The sequence below is a fragment of the Homo sapiens genome, chromosome 4 (genome assembly GCF_000001405.40).
Source record: "Homo sapiens chromosome 4, GRCh38.p14 Primary Assembly".
Taxonomy (NCBI): Eukaryota; Metazoa; Chordata; class Mammalia; order Primates; family Hominidae; genus Homo; species Homo sapiens.
Window position 1 is genome coordinate 36473724 of NC_000004.12, and position 10608 is coordinate 36484331.

Genomic DNA, 10608 nt, shown 5'->3' on the forward strand with positions numbered 1-10608 from the left:
CTTAATTTCCTTTGTTTAACCCATGATGCCTAGGCAGAGGACGTACATAGCTGAATAGTAATGTTGATGTTACTAATTGATCTGTCAGCATCATTACAATCTAATTCACTTTCAAATTATTGAAACTTTTATTACTCTCTCTAAATTTAGCCGTAGGAGAAATCCAGTTGGGACAGTAAATTGTGAGGCACAAACTTGGAGAATGGTAGGATGGTCATAAATTTGTTCGGTATATGTCTTAGTCGATTTCTGCTTCTATGACAAAATACTACAGCCTGGGTAGTTTATAAATAAGAGAAATCTATTCTTCACCATCCTGGAGGCTGGGAAGTCCAAGATCACGGCACCAGCAGATCTGATGTTTGGTGAGGGTTTGCATCTACTTGCTGCATCCTCACATGGGTGAAATGAATGATTTCTGTGTCCTCATATGGCAGAGGACATAGAAGGACAAAAGAGACAAAGGTGCCCTTGCACCTCTTTCATAAGGTCACTAATCCAATTTATGAGGCTCTGCCCTTATGAGTTAATCATCTTTAAAGTCCTCACCTCTTCAGACTATCACACTGGTAATTAAGTTGCAACCCAAAAAATGTGAAAGTACACAGACCTTCTAACCACAGCAGAGGTTTAAAGGCTAGTTTGTGCTGTGTCCAAGTAATTGAAATGGTTTCCAGGGGGATCTGGATTGCAATATTGCCTTTGCTGGCAATTAGCTGTATAATAATTGACAAGTTCCATATCACTGACAGTATCCCAAATTTTAATTTTCACATGAAATCACTAATTTATCATTTTCATGTACAAGATGCCATACTAGGTCACTTAAATTAAAAGAATAATAAGGCACTATCCTTAAGCTAAAGGAGCTTGAAGAGTAATAAATGTATAACTATATACATCAATAATCAACATCAAGTAAGTTAAGAGCATTGACATTAGCTCTTAATTAACTAGTGAAAAGTGCATGAGAACAGAGGGAAGAGAGTGATTTGCCTAAAAGGAGGGTTAATAAAGGCTTTACAGAGATGTTATGTACTAGTTCTGGATTCTTTTCTGACAGAGAAAAATGTGTGGTGGTAACACTTTCTATGCAATGGAAATAGCACCTACAAATCCACAATGGTAGGAAACTGCCTGGGCTAATCAGGGACCGCATGTTGTCTGGAATTGTTTGAACCACAGGTATGAAGGGGAAAGATCAGAAATAGGGCCATAGGAACTCAATGAGTTTCCTGCATCTTGCTGAGAAGTTCAGACACTTAGTTTTAGATCATTAGCTTTCAAATGGTACTTCTTGGAGTCTTAATGATCTTTGGAGGATCTCCAGGGCCACTGATAATTCAAGGATGTGAGCCAGGGCAAAAGGAAGTTAGAAGTGAAACTGATAGGGATGGGTTTTTACTTAAACCATTTTCACTTTTCTTTTACCTGTCTTTACTTTGGGGGTCTGCAGAAAAATTGAATTTGACCACCAATCTTATTTTTAAAAGTATAAAGGATAAAAAAGTTCTGTTATAAAATATGAGGAATAATAGATGGAGCCCACACATGAATGAGATTGGATGTGTCCTATAGAAAGTGGCCTGGAAGGCAGTGATGGATTCTACAGAAACTGAAGTGATATTAAAACAAAGAGGTTGCTGGGCACAGTGGCTCAGGCCGGTAATCCCAGCACTTTGGGAGGCCAAGGGCGGATTGCCTGAGGTCAGGGGTTCAAGACCAGTCTGGCCAACATGGTGAAACCCCATCTCTACTAAAAATACAAAAAAATTAGCCGGGCGTGCTGGCATGTGCTTGTAATCCCAGCTACTCGTGAGGCTGAGGCAGAGGAATTGCTTGAACCAGGGAGGTGGAGGTTGCAGTGAGCTGAGATCACACCACTGCACTCCTACAAGAGAACTTTGACTGACATTATCCTGGAACATCAGAGTTCCTAATAATTTTAATCATCTAAAGAGAAAGAGTCATGGGCTTTATCTTATTCTGGGTGACAGAGCGAAACTCCATCTCAGAAAAAAAAAAAAAAAAAAAAAACCGAAGGGGTTGGGATGAATACTCACTATTCTCTGACATGGTCTACTCTGTGCTCAGAGACTCAAAGTGATTTTCAGCATTTGTTTATCCTCTTTTTGGCCATTTTCACATGCCATTAATTCCTCTCCACTGCTGTTAATGTCCTTGTCTCTGCTGTGTGGCTGTCTAATTGTTGCAGCTGGAAAGTGCTTCAAAGAGAGGCCGGTACTCTGGCTAATTCTTACCCACCAGCCTACATTGGCTTATTCTCTAGGGCATTCTAGGTCTCGCAACATTGATATGAAAAAGTTGCCAGGATTCTTCCTTATAGAACCCCTTTTAGTACAGGTTTCTGTGGCTCTAAGTGAATCTCCAGCCTGCAGATAGAAAGCAATTGTATAATTGATCCTGTAGAGAACCCTTCGGCGTCTCAAAATCTCTACCTGATATTTTCTTAGTTCTCACTCTAGGAACATATGAATGCTCATATATTTGAATGCTAAAAGTTTTGGCAGCATATTTGAAGGAATACAACTTCACAGGATGAGTCATCAATCATTATTACATAATTACTACTTAACTATAGCAATGTCTTGCAAAAACTCTAAAAGCATCCACAGACCGCCTGGATCTAAACTTAGTCTTCACTATTCACTAGCTGAGTAATTTTGGTCAAGGTCCATGACTTTTTACACTTTTGGCATTCTTTGAAATTTATATGAGATAATCTATGTAACATAGTTTGTACAATGCCCAGTACAATTCGATGTTCAATAAAAATTAGCTACTTTATTATTATTTTCAGTTTCTCACATCATTATTATTTTCTTAACCCAACAATTCGCATTGTTTTACCTTTTGAATATAATGGTTTTCTGCTCATATTTTCTCCCTTGCATATTCATGAGGAAAAGGTTTTATGAAGTCTGTAACACAAAAACTTAATTCTTTTTTTTTTCTTGTAAGATTTTAATTAAGAAAACAACATACACACACACACATTAAACAATTCTATCTTACAGAATCTGCTCAGGAAACTCCTCTGTTACAGTGAGACTTTCTCACACTGAGAGATGTGTCCAGCAGGGTTGTCTTGTAAGGTAGTAAGCTCCCCATCATGATCAGTAATTAAGCACACGAGGCTTGCACAGGCCAGGAAGTTTGAGCTCTTGGGGTCATTTTAGGTGTGTCTTCCAGCATTTCAGAGGATCCAGATGAAGCGGGCATTCTTCATGAAAACCCTGTTGCACTGTGCCAGGAGGGGCCTTTTGGAACTGGCATCAGAGCTGGTACTGGATCTTCCTCTGGTCACCTTAGGCCTCTCCAGCCTTGGGGTCTGGAAACCTTTCAGGGACCATTGAGGCAGTATCTATAGCAGACAAACTTAATTCTTATTCAATGCCAGCGACCTTGCCTTACACAACGCTTCATGGCCTACACAGCTAGTTTTCTGTTTGATGACATTCCATATGCATGTATGCTTAGTGTGTTAAGACTACCTTTTATACATCAGCTAAAATTAGGAGGCAAACCAACAAAGTTTTATACAATATCACATATTATGACAGTGGGAGAAGCATACTGGGCTACGCTATAAAAGCTCTGAATAAAAGTAATAGCAAGCGTTGTTGATAAGCATTGCAGTGACATTTAGGAAACTGGAATTCTATCTTAACTTTCAGTTTTCTGATTTATATAAAGAGTGGGCTTAAGACACTTAACAACTGTAAGTGCTAGTCCAGTCACAGGCCAATGAGAAGAAGAAAACAGAGATCACAACATATGCTGGCATGTACTATGTGCAGGGTACCCTCTGATAGTGAATATTCCTTTAATTCTTACATCAATTCTGTGAGGTATTTCTTATTCCAAGTTTATCCATCTGACAAATAGATCTGAGGCAAAGAGTGAAAATAAAGAGTGACGATAATTCAGAGTTAAAAATAACTCTCATAGAAAAGTAATAGAATTACAATTTAAAAACTCACCCAAGAATGAGTTCCAAATTTATATAATCATATTAAATTACATTGCAAATAAACTGGATATCTCATCAATAAAGTTGTATTACTGACTTTTATCTACACATGATAAAAGTAGACAAGTGCCTGGCACAGCATTTACAATATAATCACTCAGTGAGTGTTGAAAGAATGAATGAACCTATGACTAACTCTATTGAACTCGGTACTTTTTTGTTATTTCATTATTTTAGGTGAACAGATGGATAAAGAGGAATTGGCAGGAAGGCAAGTTAGAGTCTCAAGATTACTGAAAATCTCAGTAACAAGCTATGGCCAAAGAGGGAGGAAAGAAGAACCATTTTATGCCTAAATCCATTTGTTCTTGATTATTGGAATGCAGCCATGGTTTTGTTTCCAAGGCACAAATGTGTGTATGTAAAAGCTGAATCCAACTTGAATAAGGTTTTTAATAATGTGCTAGCATAAGGCATTATCCAGGCTCAGCATTCAGTCATGGCTTCTGCTATCGACTTATCAAATCAAAGTAATTTTTGATATTTATTTCATAGAGCAAAACACCTCCATCATGAACTTGTAGAAGCATGTGAGCTACAAATGATTATAATTTCTGACTTATCAGCATTAGTTGGTATTGAATGCCACTCTTTAGTCCCTAGTAAGGTTAGACAAATTTCAGAGAAAGGTTGCTAGAGATCAAGGAACAACAGATATCAATAAACTTTAACAATCAATGTATAAATGTTGCTATGATCTGAATGTTGATGTCCCCCGCCCCAAATTCATATGTTAAAATCCTAACCTCCAACTCGATGATATTAGAAGGTGGGGCCTTTAGAAAGTGATTAGGTAGGGGGCAAAGCCCTCATGAATAGGATTAGTGTCCTTATAAGAAGCTGGGGAGAGCTTGCTTGCCTCTTCTGCCATGTGAGGTAAGAGGAAGAAGATGGCAGTCTATGAGGAAGCAAACTGCTGGTGCTTTGGTCTTGGACTTTCCAGCCTCCTGACCGTGAGAAATAAATTTATGTTATTTATAAGCCCCCTGGTCTATGGTATTTTGCCGTAGCCTCACAAGCAGACTAAGACAAATGGTTAAGTTGAAAAAAAAATACCCTACTCTGAGACTCAGACTTAAGAGTGACAAAATAAGAAATAGATGGATTTTTTAGATGTCAGCATGAGGAAATAAATAAATAAACAGATAAATAAATAAAATCCTGAGTTTAAATTCCAGTTCCATCATTTCCTAGCTGTGTGACATTGAATAAGTCATTTGTTATTAATTTCCCCAACTCCAAGATGGGAATGGTAATACCTACATCAAAATGTCATTGTAGGAATTAAATAAATTAAAATATAGTTAAAGCACTTACAATAAAAGCATGTTACAGAAAATAATGGTTGTTGTTATTTCTATTTTTCTAATTATTATGAAAATTCTGTCCACTTCATATTACCCACTGCTTTGTGGATCAAGTATAAGCACTTATTCTGGGAGTAGAGTGTCATGTTGATTTAATTAAATATGGCTAGTTTTCAACTACCGTGGGATTGAGATACAAGTTCCAGGTTTGGAGGACTTTTTGATTCTCATTCTATTCCAGAAAGCCTCTTTAAAAAGGTTAATTTCTCCTTTATATTCCACAGAAAGGTAGTCAGATAACAGAGATGAAACAGATGTCAAACCAATCCTTTATTAATTAATTACATAATTAATTTTAAAAATAAACTTATTTTTTGAGCAGTTATATTAATAGGCTCATAGCAAAATTGAGCAGAAAACACAGATTTCCCATAAAGCACTTGCCTCTACACATGCATAGCTTCTTCCATTATCAACATCCCATACTAGAGTAGCACATTTGTTATAATTGATAAACCTACATTGATATGGCTTTATCACTGAAATCCACCATTTACATTAGAGTTCACTGTTGGTGGTGTACCTTCTATGAGTTTTGACATTAGAGTTCACTCTTTGGTTCTACCTTCTATAAGTTTTTTAGGACAGTGTCCTAAAAACCCTCTGTATTTGGTCTATTCGTCCCTCCTTCTCTCCAGCCCCTGGCAATCACTGATCTTTTCATTGTCTACACAGTTCTGCCTTTTCCAGAATGTCATGTATGTAGTTGGAATCATGTAGAATAGAGCTTTTTCAGAATAATATCCCATTATCAGCATGTATCACAATTTATTTATCCACTCACCTATTGAAGGACATACTTGTTGCTTCCAAGTATTGGCAATGAATAAAGCTGCTGTATAAATATCATCTGCAGGTTATTGTATGGACATGTTTTGAACTCCTTTACATAAGTACCAAGGAGTGTTATTGATTGCTGGATTGCATGGTAAAAGTATATTTAGTTTGGAAAGAAATTGCTAAGCTGTCTTTCTATGTTGCTGCACCAGTGTTCATTCTCACCAGCAATGAATGAGAGTTCCTGAAGTTGCTCCATATTCTCATTAGCATTGGTGTTAACCAGTGTTTTGGATATTGGCTATTCTAATCGGTTGTAGTGGTAGTTTACCGCTGTTTAATTATTTACAATTCTCTAATGATATATAGTGTTGAGCATCTTTTCATGTGCTTATTTGACATCTGTGTATCTTCTTTGGTGAGGCGGTTGTTCAAGTCTTTTTCCCATTTTTAAATCATGTTGTTTGTTTCCTTATTGTTGAATTTTAAGAGTTCTTTGTATATTTTGGATAATAGTTCTTTACCAAATGTCTTTTGCAAATATTTTCTACTAGTCTGTGGCTTGTCTTCTCATTCTCTTAATCTTTTGTTAAGTTTTAATAGCTCGAGTAGTGTTGGCAGAGGTAAAACACTGGTACTAAGAACCCAGGAGTTTATTAAGCAGAATGAACTTTAATTTGGAGATTGTTTTCACAAATTCATTTAAAATATCAATGGTTTTTAGGAATTGCCTCTCTCCTAAAAAAAAAATTCTGCTAAACATTTTGATGAAGAGGAAAATCTAGTCAGCTGCATTCTGGCTCAATTAACTTTATCACCATTCATAAAATACTTATTTTATGAAAGACGTTCTATGTAGCCATTTAGGATTTAAATATTCTTAGTCATGTACATGAATAAAACTTGATTGGGTATAGAATTGTTGGATCACAAATTTTTCTTTCAGTACTCTTCAGAGTTTAATACTTTCCTTCTTGAATTTAGCATTCATGAAAATCATGCAATTAACCATATTATTACATCATTTTTATCTGCCTGGATGAAGGGATATTTATCCCTTAAATAACAACAGAAGACAAGATGTAGGATGGATTTAGACATTAATCTCTTCCATTGATTTTGCTTTGTGAATGGTAAGAAATTTTGATCAGTAGACTAGGATATTTTGATTTTAATAGTTGCTACTTTTTCATTTGTTCTGTTTTTTCTCTTCAGAAATGCCCATCATACCTATATCTTTTTTTCTCCACCCTTATCATAATTCTCATAGTTTTCTTCTTTATTTTTGCCTCAATGTGATATGCATCACTGACTTGGATTTCTAGATGCCATTTTGTTTTTTACCACCACTGCAAGTTTTACTTCTTGATATTTCATTTTATTTCATTATTTTATTTTTCTCTTTAAGTTTTCTCCTCCCATCTCTGTCTGTTTCTCTTTCTTTTAATCATCTATCTGTTAGTTTGGAGTCCAAGTTTACTTTAAATGTTTTCCAAAATTTTGTTTGTTTTTAAATAATATATACTTTAAAACTGTGTCTTTTCTTTTGCATAGTTGAGACCACAATTCCTTAAGATATTGCTAGTCAATTATTTGCAGACCTATGCAAGATTATGTCCATTTAAAAATTCTTGTCAGAAAGACCTACTCTTATCCAATGTTTGGAAATAGGGTAAACACAGTGCTCTAGAGCCCTTCACTATCCATTTAAGTTCAAGCAGAATCCATCTCTCCATACCCACCTTTGAATCTTGTATCTTCATAGATGCCCATTTCTGAGCCAAATCACCAATGTAGACCAGTCTTTCTACTCAGGATCTAAACCATACCAGAAAATTCCATGAAGACTCTTTTTCATCTCTCTACATGTGCAACCTCATAAACTATTTTAGACAAGACTGGGCAGGGTGGTATGCCCGTAGAACTCATAAACCACTTTAAAGTAAATAATGAGTTCTAAATGGCAGTTACAAGATGCTAACTGTTGTTGTTGGGTCAGTTATTTAACCTATTGAAATCCCAATTTTCTTCTTTCTAAAATGCGGATAATAATTTTTGTGCTAGGGGCTGGTTAAGTAATTTAAGTGAGTTCATATTTGTAAAGCATTTATCCCAGAGTCTGGTACAGAATATGCACTCAAAAATCATTCACTATTTATCATACATATTATTTTACAACATTTAGTTTCGCAACTTACAGAAAGATCATGGATTTCAATACACGCTCCCTCTTGAATTTTATAATTATAAAAATATCTACATTATATGTTGTTAAATATAGCTATAATGAACATTCTTGCTGCATCTATTTCACATGATAAGCTACCACTGATGGAAAAATGGATAATGCAAATGATATTGGTACAATAAAATTAGAGAGTACAAAATCAAGTTAAAATATATAAAGTTATTCAGAAGAACTTAAAAACATAATTTAATATATTAGTTTCAGATCACGATTTTACATATAAATTAAGGACAAGAAAAATTGTGCCTAGATCCATATTCAGTGAAAAAAGTCCACTGCATAGATCAGGTCTGATGTAGTGTATTTCACATCCAAGATGACATATAATAGTATTTTAAAGTCCCATTACTTGTTAGGCTGTAAGTCATAGATACATTTACTCTGCAGTGAAAGAAATGTGTTTTTTAATGGCATGTTGAATTAATTCATAGTGCTGGTTGACTTAGCAATATGACTAAATATGTTTGTGTATCATCCCAATTTTATGGGCTAAGTCTGCCCATAAATTTAAACTTCAATGTCTTTCTTAGAGATTTAATACGCTTCTTTGCTAGAGCAGATACTTGGAGAATACATAATAAACATCCACGCTCTAGTTTCTCATAACTATGTGAAGAGCACTGTGCTAGACCACTTTTACTACATTCTATGACAAAAAATCATGGGGAAGTAAGGCTTATAATCTATTTTTAATTCAATTTCAGTTGTGATTTCAACCTACCTGATACATATCAGCAAAAATTGTAGGACGGCTGTCTCTTCAAAGAAAAAAATAAAGTTAAACCCAACATAAGAAATAAATAAAAGGAGAACTATTTTGATGACCTCTGAGTAGACAATTTCAGAATCCTTTTCTGCTTGCCTCACCCAGAAAGCCCAGAGAGAGCTATGCAGAGGAGCTGAAATACAAATTCGTGTTTCTCAATTGAAAATGGGGCAAAGAAAATCACAGAATGCCATTTCCCACTACGATTCTATGTCTCTGGAGTAATTTCAGCTAACATTTATTCAATATCTATTAAAAAATATAATTTACTTACTCTCTAATAATACAAACTCTTTTATCTTTTTTCTTCTTATTAAAAAAACTCATAAAAAGATCATATGTCACTGGTAGACATTAAAATATATTAGTCTTATTTATTTCTTTAGGTAGTTTTTAAAGTTTTCCAATTTTACTGTTGGTGATTTGATTTATTATTTTAAGTCAATTCATGCTAGTTTAATTCATTTAGTAATTCTCACAATTTTTTAACCCGTTAAACTATTGGGCAGGCATTCACTTTTCATTACCAAATTTTCCTTATTCTTTCTAGCACAAAAAACTTAAAAGAAGATTCGATGTACTTATGACCTGATGAATTGCAACCCAGGGCTGAAATATATATGCTGTTTGATACATCAGCTCCAAAAGGTACCAATTATGTTATAAACTATGTACAAACAGAAATGGCAACTTGGCAGCCTCATTTTTCTGTTTTTGTTTGTTTGTCTCTTTGTTACTAGTAATACTGCCTATCTGGAAGGCAGGGAGCCCTCTCTAACCTGTCTCCATATGACTTGTAGTGCATATTCTCTTTTTGTTTGAGCATGTAGTGAGCCACTCAAATGTCCTTTGGCATGGCTGCAGGACATGCTTTTAATTCTTTTTTCAAAAGAAAACAGACAAAAAAAAAACCAGACAAATATAGGGTTTAACATAAGTAGAATATCTCAATGAAAAGAATTTGTTACACTAATTTAATGCCAATATACAATTGGGAGATATGATATCCTTTGAGTTTTAGGGTCAATATGAGAAGAGGAATGGAAGAGGACCTCAAACACAATGGTGTGGAGGACAGTGATTCTAAGGTAACCAACAGTGGTGATGGTACCAGTAATGAAGGAAGAATAATAACTGTAGCTGCCTAGAGGAAACATTTTAAAAAATCACAGCAAAGAAAAGAACATGCAATTGTATTCTAAGTAACAAAGCCAGGTGAGAAGTAAGAATCAAAAAAATGAGATTGTCATTCAAATCCTTGACTGTCTTTAAATTATGTGTATTCTATGATGAAAGATGACTAACTTGAGTCTATATTAACACACAATTATACGCATACCAATTTACCATATTCCCCATGAATATAAAGATCCCTGAAAAATCTAAGCAAATGTAA

At 35.0% G+C, this 10608-nt stretch overlaps 1 annotated feature.

Annotated features, from left to right (window-relative positions):
• Window positions 2235–2404: an enhancer, noted in NCBI's record as "experimental_78488 CRE fragment used in MPRA reporter constructs". NCBI's record gives its function as "activates a minimal promoter by MPRAs in K562 erythroleukemia cells, with activity observed for the non-introgressed 4:36477665 variant allele {active_cell/tissue: K562}" and the evidence as "EXISTENCE:reporter gene assay evidence [ECO:0000049][PMID:34662402]".